Genomic DNA, 26,233 nt, shown 5'->3' with positions numbered 1-26,233 from the left:
TTAAATACTGTGATAATCTTTAGGTAAGTAAGGTAAGTAAGTATACCTCATGACAACTGGTTCTCAGCAAAATTACTTTACGTCTGAATACAACAACATTCAAATTCACCTCCAGCTCTGCCTCATGACCATGTGCTCTGTGGTAAAAGACAGCCCCACTTACTTCATGCCTCTACTGGACCAACTCATCTGCAGAGTCCTCCCACAGACAGCATCTCTAAGGGCATGGACGGTGTCCTCTGCATCTCTCCTGGCCACACTTGGTAAGTGTGACAGACAGACTTCACAGTGGCCCCAGGCCCCCAGCTCCTGTAATCCCCTCCCACCTTGAGCACAGGTGAGATCTCTGACTTGCTTCTAAGTAGCGGAATTCACAAAAGGTGATGATGGGCTGTATCACAGAAGAGTTTAGCACCTATCTTATAAGAGTCTCTGTCTCTACTGCTGGCTCTGAAGAAGTAAAGCTGCCAAGAATGCTTCAGCCCTAAGAAAAGGAATTCTGTCCCCAGTCTAGAAGAGCCTGGATGTGGATCCTCTGAGTCAAGTCTCCTGATGAGAACCCAGCCCTAGCCAACACCCTGAATGCAGCCTTTATGAGACCCTAGGTTGAGTTCGCTGTGCCTGGACTCCTGCCCCACAGAAGCTAGGAAATAAATGGCTGCTGTTCGAAGCCACCAGGCCTGTAGTGATTTGTTGCCCAGCACAGAGAGGTAATACGGGGGATGCTGAAGAGCTGTCTGCTCAACAACCTAACAGATTCGCACCTGAACCAAGTCACTCACAGCACCTTCACAATACATCACAAGAGAATCAGGACTTGGAGGGACTGCACAGGGTCAGACATACAAGACACTTCAGTGGCCTGTGCCCTGCTGGCTGTGGTACTCTAGAAACAGTCCTCTCAATTCAGAATTCTCTCTCCCCTCTGGGTACTGCTCTTTTTTGGGGGCCATCTTCATTACTAATCACTCTTTCAATATTTTTTTTATTTTTTTAATTTAATTTTTTTTTTTTGAGACAGAGTCTCACTCCATTGCCCAGGCTGGAGTGCAGTGGCGCCATCTTGGCTCACTGCAACCTCCGCCTCCCAGGTTCACACTATTCTCCTGCCTCAGCCTCCTGAATAGCTGGGACCACAGGCACGTGCCACCACACCCGGCTAATTTTTTGCATTTTTAGTAGAGACGGAGTTTCACTGTATTAGCCAGGACGGTCTCAATCTCCTGACCTCATGACCCACCTGCCTCAGCCTCCCAAAGTGCTGGGATTATAGATATGAGCCACCACGCCCGGCCTCCTTTTATTTTTTTGAGATGGAGTCTTGCTCTGTCACCCAGGCTGAAGTGCTGTGGCTCGACCTTGGCTCACTGCAACCTCTGCCTCCCGGGTTCAAGTGCTTCTTCTACCTCAGCCTCCCGAGTAGCTGGGATTACAGGCACCCTCCACCACACCTGGCTAATTTTTGTAGAGAAGGGGTTTCACCATGTTGGCCAGGCTGGTCTTGAACTCCTGACTTCAGGTGATCCACCTGCCTTGGCCTCCCAAAGTGCTGGGATGACAGGCATCAGCCATCGTGACCGGCCTACATTTTTTTAAAAAGGTAATAACAATCATGAATGGAGTTGTTTTGGGTTTTATTTTCATAATTGTCCTCAGAAAGATAAGGTAAATGTGTGTACTGGCAGTTTTCCCATTTCTGAGCATGCTTTGTTGAGGAATAATAAAAGAGAATGACTCTGCCATAAAGACTATCTGCAGAAAAACACAGTTCTTATTAATTCAAGTTTCCTTTTGCTTAAAGAGCCAGAACTCAGTAATCTCCACAACTTCAGAATAAACCACCCAGGACTCATCAACATCATTTTATCCTGAAACCATATGGATTTTTCTTTATTCTTCCCCTTTAAATGCTGTTAAACCAAAACCAGAAGTAATACTCAGACCTCAGAACTACTATCTGGCTTGTAGTTAAAAACATGGATTTGGGTCAGGCGTGGTAGTTTACACCCATAATCCTAGCACTTTGGGAGGCTGAGGTGGGAGGACTGCTTCAGCCCAGGAGTTCAACACCAGCCTAGGCAACATGATGACATCCTGTCTCTCCAAAAAAAAAAAGAAAGAGAAAATATATATGGATTTGTTCCTTCTTTGAGAAACTGAAATTATATCTTGATTTTTTTTGGGGGGGGGACAATTTAGCATTTTTTTTCTAACTGTAGAAGTTCAAATGAAATATTATCTCTCTTTTTGAAATTTTTTTATTTTTTGTGGAGAGGAATCTCGCTATGTTGCCCAGGCTGGTCTTAAGCTCCTGGTCTCCCACCTCAGCCTCCTGAAGTGCTGGGATCACAGGAGTGAGCCACTGTGCTCGGCTGCAACATATATTATAGTGTGGAAATTGGCAACTATTCTCTACTCAGTTATTAGCAAACAACATATATGCCAACCCCGATGCTAAATTAAAACATGGACTATGATTAGTGATTGCTGTCTAGTTTATTTCTTATAAACTATATGGCCTTCTAATATTAAAACAATCTGTACACATTAAGGACACTGAGTAAACATTCATCATGCTTTTTGTAATGAATGTTTTACTTATTAATCATTCATCCTTATCTTCCTTCCCTACCAAATCAGAGTTTCTACCTGATTTTGACTTCCCCCTCTCCGCCTTCTAGGATGTGCTTTCAGCACAGTCTTTGGTGGCTGCTGTGCATTCTGACCCCCCTCTCTCCTCCCTCACACTGACTGTAAGTAGAAGAGCAGCAAAATGTCGCCGTATTTACCAGGAGGCAGGGGCTGTGTGACTGGGCCAACCTCAGCCCTCCTTACCTTGCACAGCCATGCTGGATGACCTGGCTCCTGACGCACACCTGGGCCATGGCTGCCCCACTCTCAAGCTTTCTCCATCTATGAGTCCCTGCAGCTTCACTACCCTGGCTGGCCACCCAACTCTAACTGCTTCTTCAGCCTTCTTCATGAGCTTTTGCTCCTCTTCCTACCTCCTTGACCAATCGGCACCCACCTCTGCCTGCAAGCTCTCATCATGCCTATGACTGCACAGATCACAGGGGCAGGGCTCATTTGGGAATCGTTTGTCCATCTCTCTTATTAGGTCATAAACTCCTGAGGGCAAGAACTGTGTCCTGTTCATGACTCAACAGTAGACAGTCAATTAATGCAATCAACCTCACTGATTATATGAACTCAAAAAGTTACGCTAGACTCTGCCTTCTCTGTTCGTCCCTGTGTCACTGATTGAGTCTACTCCACTGACTGACTATCGCGCCCAGGCAGAAAACCCTCAGTTCCTCCTTTCTAGCGGACAATATTCATCCCAAGTGCAAAGAATTTCAGTAAGAACATTTAACATAGCCTGAATCAGACCTATGAATACTTTTTATTCCAAACCTTCAGGAAAGTTAAACTTCCTGCCTCCTGAAGCCACCCTGCTTCCTGAAGCCACCCATCTCATCTGTGATCTGGTCCAAGGGCCACGCCTGTCTTAGGCTGGAACGTGCCCACTTGTCCAGTACTGGCTGGCAGCATACAAGGATACTGGCCCCTCTGAGGCCTTCTTTCCCCACACTGACATGTCCTCACATCTACACCACTTGAGGTCATGTGGCGTTAGGACGGACCATCGTGACCCCCATCTAAGAGGTCTGATGTGCAGCATGGAAGGGATCTGTTCCAGAGCCCTGTGTCTGATGATGTGGCTGCGGGACTGAGACCCCAAGGGCAGTGTTCTAATACAGCTCTAAGAACTGAGTATTTAATGATCCTGGTAAAGTCAAGATGAACCTGAAAGGTGCACCGTACGTTGCATGTTCCCATCTCCCCACTCCCATTGTCTGCAGCTGTGCTGTGGCCTCTTCATCCTGTCATCCTGTTTTTTTCCAGGCTTTCAAACGCAGGCTAAGATCCTACCTATTCTTTGAGGTCATTTCCAAGGGCTACCTTCCACATAAAATTTTCTCTCCAGTCCTTGCAAAAGAATGAAATTCTTCACGGCAACCCTGTAACACAGAACACATCCTGTGTGTCTGCCCTCCTATCACAGTGTGGGCTCACTTTCCCTGTGTGCTGCAGGCCCCATAAGCCCGCCTTCTGGACCATGCCGGGCTCTGTGTCCCTGCAATAAGCAGCTGAGGGGCTCCCACGCTGTGGACAGGGAGTGGATACCCATGGAACACAGTCATCAGGCCCCAGACAGCCAGGATTTGCTGTTAAGACAAAAGCCTAAATACCTGACTGACCGATTTCAAAAGTGCCACCTCTCTCGCTTGCTTGTGGGATGGTGGGGACTGAGCTGACACAGCTGGTCATCCAGCTGCCTACGCATTCTCTGTGCTCTTGTCCCCACTGAGTCCAAACACAAGGTTATCTTTAAAAAATAAAACAATACCAGGAATCCTTCACCTCTACATTTTATTGTAATTTACCTCAGAAGTTAAACAACCCTAGTGCTTCTTCATGACTTTGAAGGTGAAGGTATTCAGATACTGCATAAAAGACAGCAATCGCACTTGCTGTAAGAACACCAACACTGATGCTTTTAGAACAAAAGGTTTATCATCAAGTGGTGGCACCATTCTTACCAGATTATCGAGCATCCGCATGAGGGCTTCAAATTCCTGCTCACCAATCTGCCACTTGGGAGGCGATCCAGTGCCTTCCCCTACCGGAGACCCTGGGGAACGGGACTTGGCTTTGTACTTCTCAGGATTCAGCAGGACTAAGTTGTCTGGTCCTCCTGCACTGGCCAGAGTTCGAACCTTTTCCAAAACACACACAGCATGGCTTGAGTTCCTTACTGAGATCAAGAGGGTCAGATGACTTGAATAAAAATGTAGGTTTCAAAAGAAACCAAATCTCTAGAGTGTAAGAATAAAAAATGTAGAATGGATAGTGACAGACTGATCACAAAGTTACTTTCAGAAGTATTTCTTTAGCATGACAAAAATATTGGGCACCAAAGTTGGCAGAGAAATGAGAAAACACAGCACCTTTCAGGATCCTACAAAGGACTTGGGACTTCACTACGCCACAGACATAAGTCAAGAAGCAGAGGGGAGAACGTGAACTAACGGCTGACGGAGCGGAGGGGAACTCACAGCTGTAAGCTGCAGGCAAGTCTCTGAGTCTCTACTTCTGTATACCTGCTTTTTCAAAGAGTACTGTGGGGGTCACGTGACATCACATATGCGATGACACACACTAAGCACCTGATGCCAGGCCTATACACACCAGTACTCCATAAATGGTAGTGACTGACATATTTGAAAATTTAAAAATTAGAAATGAAAAGCCCAGTAATCCTTTGCCAACTTCAATCAGTGAAACAGCATTTGTCCTGATCAAGTCCCAAATCCATGAGCTTATCTTTGGCAAAGAGATTGCTCAAAGACTCCTCTCCTACTCGATAAGTATCAAAAAAAAATCTATGTGAACCCCAGACACATCTAAATAAACTGCAGAGTGACTGGAATGGCTGTCCCCTACCTGGATCTCACAGGCAACCACAAGGTTATGGATGTAATAGAAGGCCTCCTCAACGCTCTCTCCAACTGACACGAGCCCATGGTTCCGGAGAATAAGAACCTGAGGGGAAGCATGAATGCTCTGTGGAGCTGGGCAGGAAGACTGGTCCTTTGCTTTATTCTTCTTTCTGCTGTAATTTAAATACCAGATTAGATGCCTACTGACCTTGCTTTTAGGCCCCAGATTTTTCTGAATCAAAACTTTTTCCTCTTCATCAACCAGAATGCCATGGTAGTCATGATAAGCCACTTCTCCAAGGGAAAGCGCCTCCGGGGAGATTGGCAAGAGGCCACATTTCATTGCAGAGACCTAGAGACCAAATGGTCGCCATGAAGAAGGAAAACCTGGGGTTACACAATGACTGATGATATGGTAAATGCTTTCCTCACAGAAATAAAATGGGAAGGGAAATGTTTTTGTCCTCTTCTTGAAAATCAATCTATGAACTTAAGACAAACTTGGTTTCCAGTGCTAACAATTCACACTTAAAAACAAAACTACCCCTAAACTGGGAGAGCCTCAAAAGAAAATCCACATCTTTCTAGACTTTTTCCCACTGATATAAGTGCTATGTAAACCTGGATTTAATTATACAATGAGCACTGCATCTAGTGCAAGGAGCAGACCACAGACTCCTCTGAGGACTCAGTGCATTTCAAAAGAAGGCTTCCCATCAGGTATGGTGGCTCACACCTGTAATCCCAACACTCAAGAGGCTAAGGCAGGTGGATCACTTGAGCCTGGAAGTTCGACGTCAGCCTGGGCAACAAAGTGAGACCCCCGCCTCTACAAATAATATTTTTAAATTAGCCAGATGTGATGGCATGCACCTGTAGTCAAGAGGCTACTCTAGAGGCTGAGGCAGGAGGAATCCTGAACCCAGGAATTCAAAGCCAGCCTGGGCAACATATGAGACCCTCATCTCCTAAAAAAAAAAAAAAAAAAAAAAAAGGAGGAGGTTTTCCAAGTGCTCTAAAGTTTTTCTGTACTTTTTATCTTAGGTTGTAGATAACATTGAAACACCTAAAAATTAGGTGAAAGCAAATTTATACAAGTTTGTATATATATAATGTAATTATATATATACAATTTATATATAATTTCTTATATAATTTCTCTACATGTATTTAAGTAAAATTGACTCTCAAAGAGAAAAATCTAAGTGTTCATAGAGTCCTTAAGTTTCCTAAAATTCCCCAGAGTGGCCTCAGAATATGCCATTTTTGAAGGTCTTCTAAAGACAAGACCTATAGACAGCAACATTATGACCCTAAAGTAACAGGCTTCAAAGATTCAAAAACTATCTTTATCAATTCCATAGAGAAAAGTTAACCTAAAAAGACAATACCACATTTAACTCCTTCCAAAGTATCAGCTCTCATACAAGAAGAAATTTCCTTACCAAGCAAAATTATTTTGATAATTTTAAAAAGAGGCTGGGCACAGTGGCTCATGCCCATAAACCCAGTCATTTGGGAGCCAAGGTGGGCAGATCACTTGAAGCCAGGAGTTCGAGACCAGCCTGGTCAACATGGTGAAACCCCGTCTCTACCAAAAAATAAAAACATTAGCCAGGTGCAGTGGCGTGCACCTGTAGTCCCACCTACTCAGGAGGCTGAGGTGGGAGAATCGTTTGAACCCAGGAGATGCAAGTTGCAGTGAGCCAAGATCGTGCCACTGCACTCCAGCCTGGGAGACAGGGTGAGATCCTGTCTCAGAAAAACAAACAAAAACACGTTACGTGATAGCTGTTCATAACCATACTGTCAAAGGTACCTTTAATAGTTCTTTAAAATCCATAAACATTTTAGTGGCTGGAGTGACATGCATTCTTTCAGGAAAAAAAAAATCACATCATTCACACAATGATGTATCTAATAAAACCACGATGTTGACATAAGAACCATATGTTCAGAGTGAAACAAACCAGAGGTAATGTTCATCCAAATAATCCAACACACATGACATTAAAACATCAATATCAGGTCGGACGTGGTGGCTCATGCCTGTAATCCCAGCACTTTGGGAGGCCAAGGTGGGCAGATCACTTGAGGTCAGGAGTTCGAGACCAGCCAGGCCAACATGATGAAACCCCATCTTGACTAAAAATACAAAAATTAGCCGGGAATGGTGGTGTGCACCTGTAGTCCCAGCTACTTGGGAGGCTGAGTCAAGAGAACTGCTTGAACCCGAGGGGCAGAGGTTGCAGTGAGTTGAGAGTGCGCCACTGCACTTCAGCCTGCGTGACACAGCAAGACTCCATCTCCAAAAAAAAAACCAAGATCAATTAAAATACAGCATTACTGGGCCGGGTGCAGTGGCTCACACCTGTAATCCCAGCACTTTGGGAGGCCGAAGCGGGCGGATCACGAGGTCAGGCGATCAAGACCATTCTGGCTAACACGGTGAAACCCAGCCTCTACTAAAAATACAAAAAATTAGCCATGCGAGGTGGCGGGCACCTGTAGTCCCAGCTACTTGGGAGGCTGAGGCAGGAGAATGGCGTGAACCCGGGAGGCAGAGCTTGCAGTGAGCCGCGATCGCGCCATTGCACTCCAGCCTGGATGACAGAGCGAGACTCCGTCTCAAAAAAAAAAAAAAAATACAGCATTACTGAATCAATAAGGTCATCTGTTGTACAATAAACCCCAAAAGTCCTTATATAAAATTGGTGATAAAAAGCATACTTCTCAAGTACTGTGCTTTCACATGACATTGAGCAGATAGCCTGCACGTGCACTTTCATACGGAGGGGTCTGGGGCTTTGTCAGGGTGGCCCATTCACACCAGAAGGGGTAAGGCTTGGTGCACAGCTGAGGAGGAGGGTTCCTGAGCAGCTTGGAAGCTAAGCCTCGTAACAGCCTGCACTGCCTGTGTCTCCTCTCCCAGCCGCTCCTTTTCTTCTTCCCCGTCACAATCCAGCCTGGGTCCTGCTGGTTGGCTGCGGGGAGCTGGACAGGTTGGTTTCTAGGCCTCAACCTCTCCCTTTCCCCAGCTCGTCCCCACAGACTGTCCTCACGTTCAAGTCTCCCACACCCCAAACACCCTTCCCCGAGCCCACAGCACCCTCCACCCACCACCCCAGCTTGCCCTCTCCTTCTTTTCCCATTCTTCTCGAACGAGATGCCTGCTTACTGATGTCATTTTGCACGTCCCCACAGTCTTCAACACCCTGAAATCTTACCTCTCCCTCAATTCTCTATGACTTTGTTTTGTTTACTGTTATTTTATTTTTTTGAGACAAGGTCTTACTCTGTCACCCAGGCTAGAGTTCAGAGGCACAACCATAGCTCACTGAAACCTCAACATCCTTGGCTCAAAATCTTCCCACCTCAGCCTCCCAAGTAGCTGGAAGTACAGGCACGCACCACACTGGTTAATTTTTTAATTTTTTTTGTACAGACGGGGTCTCACTATGTTGCCCAGGCTGGTCTCCAACTCCTGGGCTCAGCAATCCTCCCGCCTCAGCATCCCGAAGTAGTGTGATTACAGGCATGAGCCACCATGCCCGGCCAATTGTTAAATCTAATAGGCATTTTCAGACTTATTACATGTTTTTCCAAATTAAATGGGATATATGGACCCCTTAAAAGGAAAAAAAATTATTTTAAGAAAGTCAAACTTAGTGGTACACCTTTTTTTTTATATTCAACAAAATTAGTTTTACTGACTATAAACAACAAGGGCAATTCAGAGGAAACGTGCAGTGCCTTTCACTCAGCAGCTTTAGACCTTGAGATGCTACCAGGGCAGCCACTCACCGCAGCCCCTGCTGGGGTGTGAATGTGCACGACGCACTTCACGTCCGGGCGTGCAGCATAAATTGCAGAGTGTAAGGTGAAGCCGGCCTGATTCACTCCCAGATTAGTGCTTCCACGATCTACTATATCTCCTTGTAGATTGATCTTAACCTGAAAATAAAAAAATAAAAATGTAAAATACCAAGAGGACTTCATTTTTTCTTTTCTTTTTTTTTTTTTTTTTGATAGGGTCTGGCTCTGTCGCCCAGGCTGGAGTGCAGTGGTGCGACCTCGGCCTCCACCTCCCAGGTTCAAACAATCCTCCCACCACCATGCCCAGCTAATTTTGGTATTTTTTTGTAGAGTTGGGGTACCGCCATGTTGGCCAGGCTGGTCTCGAACTTAAGTACTGGAATTACAGGCATGAGCCACTGCACCCCAGCCCAAGAGGACTTCAAATTACCCTAACTAGAAACTATTCAAACTCAAGATTACAATATTTGTAACTTCTCTCAAAGGTTTTTCTCTAACTGAACACACCACATAAAACATAGGCTCTTTCTTGTTTCTTGGGTTTTACATATTTAGCTGATCTGAAGATGTTGAATGACCTAACATGACCTGCACATACAAGCTGCCAAAGAGAAGGACATTCTTACCAAACTGGATGCAGTCACTTCACTGTAAAGAAGCCCAAAAGGGACAATGAGGAAGTGTTCCTGCTCGGAGTTCACTCTGGTCTGTGGGGAAAATGACTGAATTAGCTCAAAGATCCAAGTGAAATTATTTGCATCTCTTTCAGGCTACAAATTCACGGGTTTGTTCAGAACACTGAGTGAGCTATGCAGGGAAGCGTCCATGCACAATGCCTGTCACGAAGCCAAGGGGTACTGGAAGCTTTCCATTATTCTACTGTACTAATTTATCACATATATGAAGTGCTTCTTGCTCACGTTCATGATAACTGACTTTATAGAGGGAAAAAACAGTTCCACACTAGCCTTCTGACAGGTCAATAAATTACTGCTGGGTTACTCTGTCACACTTTCTGGTGGCTACTAGTGTCAAAGGCAAAAAGGTGTCACTCCTCAGGGATATAATAATGAAAACCAAAACTTACATTATTCTTTTTTTTTTTTTGAGACAGGGTCTCACTCTGTTGCCCAGGCTGGAGTGCAGTGGCGTGATCATGGCTCACTGCAACTTCTGCCTCCCAGGCTCAAATGATCCTCCCACCTCAGCCTCCCAAGTAGCTGGGACTACAAGCGCACAATACTGTGACCAGCTAATTATTGTATTTTGTATAGAGACAGGGTTTCGCCATGCTGGCCAGGCTGGTCTCAAAAACTCCTGGGCTCAACTGGATCTGCCTTCCTTGGCCTCTCAAAGTGCTGGGATTACAGGCATGAGCCACTGTGCCTGGCCAAAACTTACTTTTAAAAAGTCAAACAGAATGTCCTTTTTTTTTTTTCCTTGCTGCAGTAGGCACTGACAAAATGAATTTTTAAAAATACTTAACACCTAGGCTGGGCACTGTGGCTCAAGCCTGTAATCCCAGCACTTTGGGAGGCGAAGATGGGTGGATCACTTGAGGTCAGGAGTTTGGGACCAGCCTGGTCAACATGGCAAAACCCCGTCTCTACTAAAAAAATAAAATAAAATAGACAACTTGGCCACCTGTGGTGGCAGGCACCTGTAGTCCCAGACACTCAGGTGGCTGAGGCACGAGAATCACTTGGAACCCAGGAGGCAGAGGTTGCAGTCAGTCATGATCGTGCCACTGCACTCTAGCCTGGGTGACAGACAAGACCCTGTCTCAAAAAAATAAATAAAATAAATAAAAAATAAAAAAATAATTAAAACCAACTTGTACCCTTACTACTTGATCTGTTTTTTTTTTTGTTTTTTATTTTTGTTTTTGAGATGGGGTCTCACTCTGTTACCCAGGCTGTAATGCAGTGGCGCAATCATGCTCACTGCAGCCTCAACCTCCTGACTCAAGTGATCCACACATCTCAGCCTCCTGAGTAGCTGGGACTACAGGCACAAGTCATTAAGCCTGGCTATTTTTTTATTTTTTATTTTGGTAGAGATGGGGTCTCACTAAGTTGCCCAGGCTGGTCTTGAACTCCTGAACTCAAGCAATCCTCCCGCCTCAGCCTCTCAAAATGCTAGGCTTACAGGTGTGAGCCACTGTGCCCACCATAATCCATTTCTTAAGTCTCTACAACACCACATCCTCATTGCCTTCATTGGTTTGCCTCTTCCACAGTATGTTTTTCTCCCACAGTAATTAATTCAATGCAGATTTGGTTTACACTATGCATCAAGCATATGCTAGACACTAGGAATACAGCAGTAAAAAAGAAGAGACCTGCCCTCAAAAATATTCATTCTAGTTTTTATAATGATTTTAGTATAGGCTCAAAAGGCTTCCTAAAGATTAAGTTCAAATACATTTACTAATGGGTTAAGGAACCCAGAATCCTAACTAGGGTCGGACAGTTGGAGCTGAGTGTTTGTTGAAAAGGACTTAAGGTGTTTAGTCCAGCTTCCTAAGCCACATAGTGATTTCTTCTGTAGTGGCCCAAACAGAAGCATACCCAGGGTCTGCTTGTTTTAGTTTCAGTGATGAGGATGCTTACCCCAGCCTCCCTCATTTATTCATTCAGGAAAGAAATGACCACCTACTCGCTGAGAGCCCACCGTGTCATGGGCGCTGAAGCACTGTCATAAACAGATGCTGGAGAGACTTAAGGATTAAAACGTTCTTTCTAGCACTGAGAAGAAATCTGTTTTCCTGTGTTTGTCACCACTGCCTCTAGTATATAACACAGAACAAATTCTAACCCCCTTCTACAATTTAATTTTCAGACATCTAAATCTATCCTGTCTCCCCTTATATGATCTGTAGGCTAAACTCACCTGATTGTCTCTGTAGAGCATAACAGGGTTAAGAGCACAAAATCCAAAGTCAGATAACACTTAAGTTCAAATCCTAGCTCTGCCAAGAACTGGCTATGGTGTTCTGGGCACCCTGAGCTCCTGTTTTCCTCATGACTAAGTGGGGATGGAAGAGCCTGTGTCTACAATAAAGCTCGCAATAAACGGCATCTACCCATTATTACCATCATTAGTGGTAGTGGGAGCAGCAACACTAAATCATTGCTAGGGGTCATTTACATGGATAGTGAACTACAACACCCAGTCTCTATAAATCCCTATGACCCACTTCTTTGCAATGCTGAGTCAGCCTTGCTTTCTATTTCCTTAAGTCAGCTCCTTTATCTTTTTTTTTTCTTTTTTTGAGACAAAGCTCACTCTGTCACCCAGGCTGGAGTGCAGGGGCACGATCTCAGCTCACTACAACCTTTGCCTCCCGGGTTCAAGCGATTCTCCTGCCTCAGCCTCTGAGTAGCTGGGATTACAGGCACACCATGCCCAGCTAATTTCTGTATTTTTAGTAGAGACGGGGTTTCACCACGTCAGCCAGGCTGGTCTCAAACTCCTGGCCTCAAGTGATGCACCCACTTTTTCTGGCCTCCAAAAATGCTGGGATTAGAGGCATGAGCCACCGTGCCCAGCCTCCTTTATCTTAAAAAGCATGCTGACCTTTTTTTTTTTTTTTAAAATAGAGACAGGGTTTCACTATGTTGCCCAAGCTGGTCCCAAACTTTTGAGCTCAAGTGATCCTCCTGCCTTGGCCTCCAAAAGTGTTGGGATTACAGGTGGGAGTCACTGCATCCAGCCCATCCTGACTTGTTAAACTATTTAACACAAAAGTAAGCAGTTGTCTAATTGCTAAGCTCAGTCAAAACAAAACATAAAACAAGGGATCTGTGTATATACTGGTTGGAATGAAGAAAATTAAGGATGAAAATTAGAAAAGATTAAGTTTCAGATTTTTGTTTTGCTTCCTTTAAAAGCCTTTATTTTAAAAACACACATACAAGGGTATTTACAAGATATAAGACAATGTAAGTATAATAATAAATCAAACATCCATGTATCTATCAATTAGCTTAAGAAATACAATAATTCTAGTGGCCAGGCATGGTGGCTCATGCCTGTAATCCCAGCACTTTGGGAGGGCGAGAAGGGCGGATCACAAGGTCAGGAGATGGAGACCATCCTGGCTAAAATGGTGAAACCCTGTCTCTACTAAAAATACAAAAAAAATTAGCCGGGTGTGGTGGCGGGCGACTGTACTCCCAGCTACTCGGGAGGTTGAGGCAGGAGAATGGCGTGAACCTGGGAGGCAGAGCTTGCAGTGAGCAGAGATCGTGCCACTGACTCTAGCCTGGGTGACAGGGTGAGACTCTGTCTCAAACAACAACAACAAAAGAAATCTGATGTCTATAAAATGACATTTCATTGTGATATGAATTTATAATTTCCTGGTGACCAAATGATTTCAGTAACTTTTCATATTTTTATAAGGCATTCTTATTTCCCCTTCTGTGAAATTCCTTTCTTGCCTTTTGTCCATTTTATACTGGTTTGTCTTTTTCTTACTGACAGTTATCTATTCCAGATATTATTTCTTTTTTTTTTTTTTTGAGACGGAGTCTCACTCTGTCGCCCAGGCTGGAGTGCAGTGGCACAATTTCAGCTCACTGCAACCTTCACCTCCCAAGTTCAAGTGATTCCTGTCTCAGCCTCCCAGTAGCTGGGATTACAGGTGCGCGCCACCACGCCTGGCTAATTTTGCATTTTTAGCAGAGACGGAGTTTCACATGTTGGCCACACTGGTCTCAAACTCCTGGCCTCAAGGGATGTGCCCACCTTGGTCTCCCAAAGTGCAGAGATTACAGGCGTGAGCCACTGCACCCAGCTCCAGATATTAATTTCTATTGGCTACATGTGGGACAAACCTTCCAGGTTGCGGCTTTTATTATTACTGTCTTTATGGTATCTTTTACCTTTTTTCTGAGACAGGGTCTCACTCTGCCACCCAGGCTGGAGTGCAGTGGCACAATCTCAGCTCACTGCAACCTCTGCCTCTAGGGTTCAAGCAATTCTCCTGTCTCAGCCTCCCCAGCAACTGGGACTACAGGCACACCACCATGCCTGGCCAAATTTTTTGTATTTTTTGGTAGAGATGGGTTTCATCATGTTGGTCAGGCTGGTCTCGAACTCCTGACGTCAGGTGATCCACCCACCTCAGCCTCCCAAAATGCTGGGATTACAGGCATAAGCCACCACGCCTGGCCTATGGTATCTTTTAATAAGGAAAAAGTTTGTCTACTTTAAATGTAGACAAATTTATCCATCTTTTCTTTTACGATAAGTGATTTTTGTGTCATAAGACATCTCTCCTTAGGCCAGAGGTTCAAGGCCAGTGATTTTCACCTATATTAGTCCTAAAATTGTTAAAGTATTGCATTTCACATTTAATCTTTAATTCACTGGGATTGCTTTGTGATTATGTATAGTATAGAAGTCTCATATAATTATTTCCACTTGTGACTTTTCTACCCAAGCATCCCAGCAGCCATCATTGCCAAGTCCATCCCCCACCCCGCTGAGCTGCAATGCCGACTACAGCATGTCTGTTTCAATGCATGCAATTTGGCCCTACTGATCCCTCTGCATCTTCCTTTGCCCAAAGGACACTATATTAATTACCACTTTATATTAAGTTTGACATCTGGTAGGAAAAATCTCCTTGCCTAGCTGTTCTTCAGGAGTGTCTTAGCTATTCTTGGCCTTCCGCTCTTCCATCTAAATTTTAGAAGCATGCTGTCAGGTTCCACATTTAAAAAGTATTACACAACCATTTTTGTTAGTCATTTCTCTTTTGTCTCTCTCTCTCTCTCCATATATATATGTACATATTTCATATAGCTGTAAACAGTATATATTTCATATTTTCTCATTTCTGATACCTTTCATTTTTCATATTTCACTTGTTCTACATGATCTTTGTAATTGTTTTTCATAGTATACAACATTTGCTCAAATTGATATTGAATAACTGAGCCATTTCCTATCTACTGCTGAATACTTAAGGACTCTTAAAATTTTTCATTATTGGCTGGGTGCAGTGGCTCACACCTATAACCCTAGCACTTTGGGAGGCTGAGGTGGGCGGATCACTTGAGGTCAGGAGTTCAAAACCAGCCTGGCCAACATGGTGAAACCCCATCTCTAGTAAAAATACAAAAAAATTAGCTGTGTGTGGTGGCAGGTGCCTGTAATCCCTGCTACTTGGGAGGCTGAGGCAGCAGAATTGCCTGAACTCGGAAGGTAGAGGTTGAGTGAGCCGAGATCATGCCACTGCACTCCAGCCTGGGCCACAGAGTGAGACTCTGCCTAAAATAATAATAATAATAATAATAATAATAATAATTTCATTATTACAAATAATGCTGGGCCGGGCACAGTGGCTCACACCTGTAATCCCAGCACTTTGGGAGGCCGAGGCAGGCGGATCGCTTGAGGCCAGGAGTTTGAGCCCAGGCTGGCCAGCATGGTGAAACCCCATCTCTACTAAAAATACTAAAATCAGCTAGTGGCATGGTGGTGCACACCTGCGCATGGTGGCACATGCCTGTTCCTGCTACTTGGGAGGCTGAGGCAGGAGGATCACTTGAACCGAGGCGGCAGAGGTTGCAGTGAGCCGAGATTCCACCACTGCACTCCAGCCTGGGTAACAGAGTGAGACCCTGTCTCAAAAATAATAATAATAATAATAACGCTGTAATTAATAATGTTTCCTTCTTTTACTTATTTTAAGATTTATTTCCAACTGTAAGCTTAACTAACAGATCTATTAATACATACTTTAATTTTAGAGGCTTAAAACATTCAATTCTCTGAATCTAAAGCAAAAAGGAGAAAGTGCAAAATTACAAACATCAAGTAAAAATAGAGAAGGATATTTTGAAGTCAGTTTCCTCTGCAGTTGTCCCTCCCCGTCAGACCAGCCCTGCTCTCCCTGTGTCTCTTCCCACACATGTACTGCCCCTTCTCTGTGTATGAAGAATGAGACTCTCCTGTTGCAGACCAATGCAGTACCCAATTCAGTACCTCCAGAGGAGACCACTATCACGTCCCTGAAGCACAGGGCACTGGTCACAAAGGTGGGTCCAGACCATCACCTCAGAGGCTTAGCATTCTCTGGAATCCAGAATGGAGTTGAACAAGCACCTGCCAGGTTCTGCAGGTGCAAAGCCTTGACAGCATTCCACTGACATCAGAATGGGCAGGCCAAGCCATCAGCTAAGTGCCACCGAGAGAGGAAGCCCAGTCCACTGTGCTAACTGGGCCACCCCGTCTTGTCCCCCTCCCCCCAGCCCCCACAAACACTTCTCCAAATCCAATGCAATCTTAAAGATCTATTTCAGACAATCATCTCCAATCTTCTAACACCTGTTAGCAATTTTAAATCCCTTTAGCAGAAAATCCCTATGACCCCCTTTCAAAGAAAGGGCAGAATGACCTGCTGTCACTTTTTGTTGACACTGTATTTGCTTTTCTGTTAAGCGTCTATACCATACCTAGATAGTAAATAAGAAATGGATGCCATAATAGTAAAACAAAATAAACCAAAACCTTTCTTCCTTAAAGATTCTCTAGTTCTAGTTTATAAGACATAGGAAACATTTTAGGTAACTTGCATTTCTTTTTACTCGGTATTAAGCCCCAAGGAGATAATTTACAGAAAACACTTTTTTAATTTTGCCAATTCTTAAACAATTAAAGGAGGAGAAAACAAGCAATTTAACCAATTCAAACTTATTTAATCAGCATTCAAAATAGGACTAGGCAAACAGCACTTTAAAACCTGCGAAGAAGGTGAAGCTGTTATCACAGTTAGGGTTACGTTTCCAATCACAGCTGTAACATTTTCACCGCACTGATCTTCAGGCAACCACTTAGCACTAATCTCCACCACAGCATTCTGTCAAGTATAATTAGATGACAGAGGCCAGCAATTTCCCTGCAGGCACCAGGAAGGGAGCTGGCATTTGTGCTAGGCTAACTGGACCCACCAATCAAATGTCAAAAGGTCCCAGCGAGCTCTTGTTCACAATTTCACTGAGGTAATTTCAGTTCAGCCGGGGGTTTCATTCAGTTTTTCACCTAAGTTTACTGCATGCCTACTCTTTGCCACGGGTCCTGGGGCCACAGCAGGGACCACAACAGACGCTCTCCCTGTGGAATTTATATTCCTGTGGGCAGAGAGGGACAGCAACAGCTAAACATACAGAATGAATGGGGGTAACTGCTACAGGGGAATAAAGCAGCGATGACATTCTACACAGAGTGACCGTGCCGCACACAGGAGCATGACATGGTAAGGCTTACATTTTGAAAAGTTCATTTAAGCGGAAACAAGAACAGATGGATAGAAGGCAACTCAGTCTCTCTGGCAGAGACCAATATCAAGTCCCAGAGGCACAACACACTAATCACAAGGTGAGCTCCAGACCGTCACCTCAAGAGGCTTAGCATTCCTCTGAGTCCAGAATGGAGCTTAACGAAGCACCGCTGGTTATGAGTCCATGTGCAGAAAAACCCATGTGTGTGTGAGTATGGAGGAAACATTTCAGCAACGTGAACAGCGCACACACTGCTTGCCTCAAGAGAGATGGAAGTATTGGTGGAATTACTTTTTCTTTAGACATCTGCATAAGGTACACTTGATACAAAAAGCAGGCACTGTATTAACAATTTAAAATATCCTTTAAAAGAAATTACATGAAAAAAACAGAAGACTGGAACAAGTTTCAAAACCAAAGGAAGGAAGCAGTTCAAAGGAAGAAGCTATCTCTACAAAAGAGTGAAGGAACAGAAGAACCCTGGCAATGCACTGTGAATCTAACAAGGCAGGAAGGGGCCGGGCAGGGTGGCTCACGCCTGTAATCCCAGCACTTTGGGAGGCCAAGGCGGGCGGATCACAAGGTCAGGAGATCGAGACCATCCTGGCTAACACGGTGAAACCCCGTCTCTACTAAAAATACAAAAAAATTAGCCAGGCGTGGTGGCGGGCGCCTGTAGTCCCAGCTACTCGGGAGGCTGAGGCAGGAGAATGGCGTGAACCCGGGAGGCGGAGCTTGCAGTGAGCCGAGATTGCACCACTGCACTCCAGCCTGGGCAACAGAGCAAGTCTCTGTCTCAAAAAAAAAAAAGAAGGCAGGAAGGGTGGAATTCCAAGCCAGGTGAGCAAAGTCTGGCCACAGGCAGAAGGCAAGACATTATAACAGGTGGTCAAGAGTACAGAATGGCTACAAATGTCAGTAAGGGTACCCATTTTTTCTGTGACATGATGAGGTCATTTGGTGGAAGAAGGAGGTCAGGAGTCTCAAAGATAGTAGAGAAGGCTTAAATATTAGTAAGGTTGTAAGAGAGATGAGTTATGGTTGCCAGGCTAAGTCATTGGCCCATTTGAGATTTGGGTTCTGAATCTATGGAGAAAGGTAATGGGCTCTGGTGGGAGGACTTCCACAGCAGGATTTCGCTACTCAGAAGCTGGGAGGGAGAGTACAGGATTGGCAGAGTATTGCTGAAATGAGGGACTATGAAATACAAGATGGACAAAATAGGGAGTGAAGAATAGGCTAATGGATTGGGATGAAGAAGTGACTGTCCACAAGGGAAGGACTCATGTTGTCCACTGACACAACCACAGTTAGAACAGCGCTTGGTCCAGAGAAAGCAGATACCCAGAATGAAGGAAAAGAGATCCTAATAATGTTGAAAAATAGTTAAAACTAGAGTAGCTGAAGAAATAAGTTTGAGAGACGGAAGGCTTTGGTCAGACTAAGAAAGAAAACATCATCATTCTTAGGTTTTTAAGCATAAAAATAATTTTAGAAACTGCATATAATCTGGTAAACACTTAGTTGTTTTATTAGGTTAGCACGCAAGAAAGAAATTTTCAAGAACTGCTGTTCCTGTAACTTTTAACCCAAACTGGCTGATTCTCAGGTTATTACACTCTGTAGTCAGGAATCAGAAGAGGTATTCCAAGACTTACTGAAGCTCAGCCTGCTTCCCTCTTCTCCTAAATGGAAAGAGGTGGTGCCAGACACAAAATATTTCATTTATCGTTCAGTTACTAGCCCATTTAATACTCACTGTGATATGATTGTAGATAAGCTGAGACCACCCAAAGAGATCTGCTAGTCTATAAAACGCTGCCAATTTACACCGTAATAACTTCTCTCCTTTGTCATACGCAATAGAATCAGATCCTCTAAGATCGTTCACAGGAGTCACCATACCAAGACCTGAAATAAAGAAAAACAAAACTCAGCCAGGTGCAGTGGTATACGCCTGTAGTCCTAGTTACTCAGAAGGCTAAGGCAGGAGGATCACTTGAAGCCATGAGTTTGAGGCTGTAGTGCTTATGATAGCAGCTGTGAATAGCCAAGGCAACAAAGCGAGACTTACCAAAAAGCCTCAAATATTAACATTTCTTATCAAATGTAAATCAAATACTAATGGTTCTGAGATATTTATCTTCCACATTAGACAATAAAGTCTTGAAAACTTCAAAGACAATTTCATAATGACTGTTTTCCAATACTTACACAATTAAGTTAGAAATCAATAACAAAAAGATAGCCAAATTTGTGGCGTGCAGTAAAGCAAGCTTAAAAGGAAATTTACAGCATTAAACGTATACATTAGAGAAGAAAAGTGTTTTTAAGGCTTTCTGATTAAAGCAAAAGTTGAATCTCTGAGAAGTTTAAAAATAAAATACAAATAATAAAATAAGATAAACCTCTAGCCAGACTTAACAAAAGAAAGGAGATAGAAACAACCAATATGGGCTGGGCGCGGTGGCTCACGCCTGTAATCCCAGCACTTTGGGAGGCCGAGGCGGGAGGATCACAAGGTCAGGAGATCGAGACCATCCTGGCTAACAAGGTGAAACCCTGTCTATACCAAAAATACAAAAAATTAGCCAGACGTGGTGGTGGGCGCCTATACTCCCAGCTACTTGGGAGGCTGAGGCAGGAGAATGGCGTGAACCCAGGAGGCGGAGCTTACAGTGAGCCAAGATCACGCCACTGCACTGCAGCCCAGGCGACAGAGCAAGACTCCATCTCAAAAAAAAAAAGAAAAGAGAAAAATTAGCCAGGCATGGAAGGCATGGAGGATCCCTTAAGCCTAGGAGTTCAAGGTTGTAGTGAGCTGTGATCGTGCCACTGTACTCCAGCATGGGTGAAAGAGCAAGAACTTATCTCTAAATAAATAAATACACAAAACAAACAAACAAACAAAAAAACATAATTCACCATAACAAACTAAAGAAGAAAGACTAAGGGATCATTTTAACAGAAAGAAAAGAAGCATTTCACAAAGTTCAACATCCATTCAGAAGGAAAGTTCTCAACAAATCCGGATAATAACTGCAATGATGTGAAACACACTGACTATGTTTAAATCATAAATTCAAATAATACTAAAAAAAAAAAAAACTAATTGTTCATCACTGAAGGATGATTGGAAACCAACTTATTATTTCGGAAAGGGATCCTGCCTTTCCTACACAAACTGTATCACCAGGTAACCAAAAGAACTGAAGGGAAGTTTCTCCTGACAGAACATTCTTGCTAATTAATACAGACGAAATGGGCCAGGTGTGGTGGCTCATGTTCGTAATCCCAGCACTTAGGGAGGCTGAGGCGAGTGGATCACTTGTGGTCAGGAGTTTGAGACCAGCATGGCCAACATGGCGAAATCCGTCTCTACTAAAAATAACAAAAATTAGCCAGGTGTGGTGGTGTGTGCCTGTAATCTCAGCTATTCAGGAGGCTGAGGCAGGAGAACAGCTTGAACCTGGGAGGTGGTAGTTTGCAGGGAGCTGAGATCATGCCACTGCACTCCAGCCTGGGAGACAGAGCAAGACGCCGTCTCAAAAACAACAACAACAAAAAAAAACGGAATCCACATGAAAACTTTCCTAGTGGTGGCCATGTGATTTCAGGATGGAGGTTTGAGCTATGGATTAAATGTGACTCTTAATATTCTGTAGACATTAATTACAATATATATCAGATCTGTTGAATGCTATTCAACTTCTAAGAATACCACAGAGCAGACAGGTAAATAGCAAATGTCAGCAGATCTAACAGAAACCAGTACCTTATTTCGGGCAATCAGATTTGACTATCCAACCAGACCCATCAGAGACTAATCCAAGGTACAATATGCAGTGGCTCAGATTAGTTGATGCTTTGTCATGTTAACATTTGCAAACTCAATTGCCATGGCAAAGCTGCATTCTTGCACAGCTGACCATTCTTTGCTCACATTCACCCATCCAGTACTTTTCCTCTGGCTTTTCTTTTAGAATTTCTCTTTCTCACTAGTTGGGACACAGCAGTGAAGAATGCTAGGTAAGAAATGCTGGCCAGGCAAAACTGATGTGCTACTCCACAGCATTATTTCTATTAGTTTATTTTAATCTACATAGGGGCTGGGAAGACACATAAAAAGTCATCTGCCTCGGAAATAAAGTCTCACTGGCTAAGAAAAGAGGAGTCTGCAACATTCAAGATGATTTCAGAATTCCAGCCTATCTTTTACTATGACTAACGAAAACACATTAATTTTCAAAATACTCAACTCTGTTATGTTATACAGTTAAATGCCCACTTATTTCACATGAGCAATCTTCAGGAAATTTTACCTGAAAACTACAGAACATATATTAAAAATCAGGAACTACTCACTCATGTTTAAGGCAGCCATCCCTCCTTGCGGAGCTGCTGGGTAGACATTTGGTACATTCGTGGTCATAAAATCTGCAATCTGCTGTAATGCCAATAGGCCTGTGGGGTTCTTCCCCTTCTTAAATTGCTCCTGTATCATTGATTCCAATTCTTCACAGAAAGCCTAATAAAAAATATTAAAACACTGAGATACCATTTATTTTCTGTTCCTTGGGCAGGGGGTCAGAAGTAGCTATCACATAGACCAATTTTTGTTTTCATCCAGTGCTGGAAAGGCAAACGGATATTCTCACACATTACTGCTGAGAATATAAACTGGTACATTCTTTTCTAGAAAGTAATTTAATACAATAAAAGCTTAAAACTCTGAACAGGAATTCTACTCTTAGGAATCTATTTTAAGGAAACATTCAAGGAAGTGCTCAAAGACTGATTCATTTGTATGTTCATTCCAGTATTATTGATAAAAGGGAAAAACATCCTACGTTTCAATCAACAGAGGACTGATCAAATACACTGGGAATTCTACGCATGCATTCAACATGAAAAGCTAAAAAAACTTAAATGGCATAAAATTGCTCTTGATATATGTTTGAGTGACAATGTTATCAAGCAGTATAACCAGTCCTTATTACAGCAAATACATACCTAAACATAGAAAAAGATTAAAAGTAAATACATTGGCTGGGCACAGTGGCTCATGCCTGGAATCCCAGCACTTTAGGAGGCGAAGGCAGGTGGATCACCTGAGGTCAGGAGTTCGAGACCAGCCTGGCCAACATGGTGAAACCCCATCTCTACTAAAAATGTAAAAAATTAGCCAGGCGTGGTGGTGGGCGCCTGTAATCCCAGCTACTTGGGAGGCTGAGAAAGGAGAATTGCTTGAACCCAGGAGGCAGAGGTTGCAGTGAGCCGAGATTGGGCCATTGCACTCCAGCCTGGGCAACAGAGCAAGACTTTGTCTCAAAAAAAAAAAAAAAAAAAAAAAGTAAATACATCAAAATGTTCATTGTAATCCTTTTAGTGATAGGATTATTAGTAATTTTTCATATTCTACTTTATCCTTTGCAGTACTTTCTTCAAAATACTTTTCAAATTACTTTTAAATGTGGAAAAAACCCTAACCATCCATCCTTTATCAAATAATACTAAATCAGGCAAAAAAAAGTGCAATTGGATTGATGGTGATTTTAATAGAAAATCACTATTATAACAATACAGATAATTTATATTCCCAACCTGCACTAAAATAATTTTTTCACATACCCTGCAAAGAAATAAATATCGGCCAGGCATGGTGGCTCACGCCTGTAATCCCAGCACTTTGGGAGGCCGAGGCGGGCGGATCACGAGGTCAGGAGATCGAGACCATCCTGGCTAACATGGTGAAACCCCGTCTCTACTAAAAATACAAAAAATAAGCCAGGCGTGGTGGTGGGCGCCTGTAGTCCCAGCTACTCGGGAGGCTGAGGCAGGACAATGGTGTGAACCCGGGAGGCGGAGCTTGCAGTGAGCTGAGATCCCGCCACTGCACTCCAGCTTGGGAGATAGAGCGAGACTCCGTCTCAAAAAAAAAAAAAAAAAAAAAAAAAAAAAAGAAAGAAAGAAATATCTTGTCAAACAATTATAAATGATATCCGGTATGAAAATTTAAGTTCACTGGATGTTAATCCACATCAAATTTACTTCTAGTTTGTCACTGCTTGAGCTGAAAACATATTGCAGGAGATTGCCAAGGGACAGTCTAAGAGTACCTATCACTTGGGGGAAGCACACAACAGACAGATGTATTGCTGTTAATTAAGGGTAGAATAGAATGTCTGTCAAGAGCCCTCTGAGGACCCCCTATTTACCAAACCATGGCAAATAATGTTGCAGATCATATTTTGTAGTCATCCGTGAGGAAGGGAAAAGCTGAGAGGTACTCTGACTGCAAGCAAGAAATAAACAAAGGAAAAAAACAAAACATGGTGATTATTTAGCCATCTTTGTCATCAAAGCACAATGCAATGAGAGAGAAAGGGAGATATGTGCAAATAAAGATAGGGCAGGCGCAGTGGCTTCCACCTGTAACTTCCAGCACTTTGGGAGGCCAAGGGAGGCGGATCACTTGAGGTCAGGAGTTCGAGACCAGCCTGGCCAACATGGTAAAACCTCATCTCTACTAAAAATACAAAAGTTAGCTGGGCATGGAAGCTTGTGCCTGTAATCCTAGCTACTTGGGAGGCTGAGGCAGGAGAATCACTTGAAGCCAGTAGGAGGAGGTTGCAGCGAGCTGGGTATGGTGGTGCACGCTTGTAATCCCAGCTACTCAGGAGGCTGAGGCAGGAGAATCATTTGAACTCGGGAGGTGGAGGCTACAGTGAGCCGAGATCACGCCACTGCACTCCAGCCTGGGCGACAGAGTGAGACTCCATCTCAAAAAAAAAAGAGAGAGAGTAAGAGATACAGATGGCATCTCCTGAACATCACAGACAGTGCTGGTCACAGGGAAAGCAAAAGCTAAATTAAACAAGCTCCTTGCCTTCAGGAGCCCTCAGTCTGAAAATTCAAAGGATCTATTTCAATGGTTTTCAAATCCACATACAGATCTAGGGAAAGCTCAATTCGACACACACTACTAAGTACCAGGCGCTGTTTTAGACACTAAGGATATACATACTGATAAATAATATGGTCCTTGCCATCCAGAAACTTAAAGCTTGGTAAGGAAGACACAAAAAGAAGAAAACCACAGTACAGGAGCCCTATGCATAAAGAGCATTTCAGACGACCTGTAAGTGCAGAAAGGACACGTGGCACAGAGCTGAGCTTAGTCCTGAGTGAGGGCCTGGAGCCACCAATCTGGATCTTAACGTTTGGCTCCAGCCAGCTGTCACTAGCCTAAGGACCTTGTGTGTGCTACTTTGATCATAACTCTTGCTGGTTCAACATCCATACCCTCAGTTTGGGACCCTCATACCTCTCAGCTTTCGGACCTCCTCTCCTCCAAAGACCCTGTCATCCAACCCATCTCAGGCTCCCACGTCCATGGTCAGCACTACACCTGCTCATTCCTAGTAACCATGTCTCTCTTCAATCCCAAAGCCAAGTATGTGCCCTGCAACCACCCCCTCCTAGCATCCAGCTCACACTTTCTTCCATCCATTCATCACCCTAACACCTTCTCACCTTGGCTCACCTCCCCTGTTCTGAACTCCCTCACTGGCTTAGATCCATTGTAATGATTACATTGTAATCCCTTTCTTGCTAACATCTCCAACTCTACCAAACCATCTGGCAAAACCTCAAGCCCCAGGCTGGAGTGCAGTGGTGCAATCATAGCTCACTGCAGCCTCAAACTCCTAAACTCAAGTGATCCTCCTATCTCAGCCTCCCAAAGCACTGGGACTACAGGTATGAGCCACCGCGCCCAGCCTTGATGCTTACTGTGTTCTAAACAACCTGTGGGCAGGAACTTTACTCTCTTATCTCTGCATCCCCAGTGCCTAGAACAATGCCTGGCACACACTAGGTGCTATCAGTTTCAACTCAAAAATGACTCAACTATCCCGAGTCATTTTTACTTAGCTTCTTGTTGTTTTTACGTAAGTAAACTGCTCAAGCCAAAAGTCTCGGTGCTATCCTGATTCTTTTTTTCCCTTTCACTTCTTCCACCCCATCCATCAGCAAGTCCTATTCACACTACCTTCAAAATGAAAGCCATACAAATCTACTTCTTCCTACCTCTACTACGCCACCTTGGCCCAAGCAGCCATGATCTCTCATTTGGACAACAGCTTTTTCTCTTGCCCCAGCCAATTTTCTCTCTAAACCAAACCCAGAATAATTTTCTTTAAAATACCGTTTGTCCTTTCCCTGTCTGCAGCCCTCCAATGATTCTGCCACACACAGAATGCAATGGAAACTCTCAATCTCAGCATACACAGCCTTCCAGGATCTGCTCCCTCCTCTCTCTCCAACCTCACTCTGCCACTCCCAGGCCGAACCACACTGGCTGCCTTCTGCCTCTGTGGGCTCATCAAGCCCATCCCTATCCTAGGAATTTCATGTTAGCTGGTTCCTCAGCTGGGAACACGTCTCCTTTTTTTTTGGAGACAGGGTCTCACTCTGTCACCCAGGCTGGAGTGCACTGGCACGATCACAACTCACTGCAGCCTCAGCTTGAGTGATCCTCCCACCTCAGCCTCCTGAGTAGCTGGGATTGCCGGGGCATGCCACCACACCTAGCTAATTTTTATATTTTTGGTAGAG

The 26,233-nt window shown here is 43.9% G+C and overlaps 1 protein-coding gene across 24 annotated transcripts in view; it reads right to left on the bottom strand.

Moving 5' to 3' along the window:
* The window catches only part of ADD1 (adducin 1), an 86,219-nt gene that overhangs the window by 26,023 nt on the left and 33,963 nt on the right, over positions 1-26,233 (bottom strand). For all 24 annotated transcript variants that reach the window (NM_001354757.2, NM_001354754.2, NM_001354762.2 and 21 more), the window contains 7 exons: positions 21,980-22,142; positions 19,374-19,525; positions 9,947-10,027; positions 9,309-9,458; positions 5,713-5,856; positions 5,509-5,607; positions 4,605-4,781 (listed from right to left, as the gene is read on the bottom strand). In NM_001354757.2, coding sequence (NP_001341686.1) covers positions 4,605-4,781; positions 5,509-5,607; positions 5,713-5,856; positions 9,309-9,458; positions 9,947-10,027; positions 19,374-19,525; positions 21,980-22,142 — 966 coding nt within the window. The remainder of the gene's footprint in view (positions 1-4,604; positions 4,782-5,508; positions 5,608-5,712; positions 5,857-9,308; positions 9,459-9,946; positions 10,028-19,373; positions 19,526-21,979; positions 22,143-26,233) is intronic.

This window comes from Homo sapiens, chromosome 4 (assembly GCF_000001405.40).
Source record: "Homo sapiens chromosome 4, GRCh38.p14 Primary Assembly".
Taxonomy (NCBI): Eukaryota; Metazoa; Chordata; class Mammalia; order Primates; family Hominidae; genus Homo; species Homo sapiens.
This window is presented reverse-complemented; position numbering and strand designations above follow the sequence as displayed.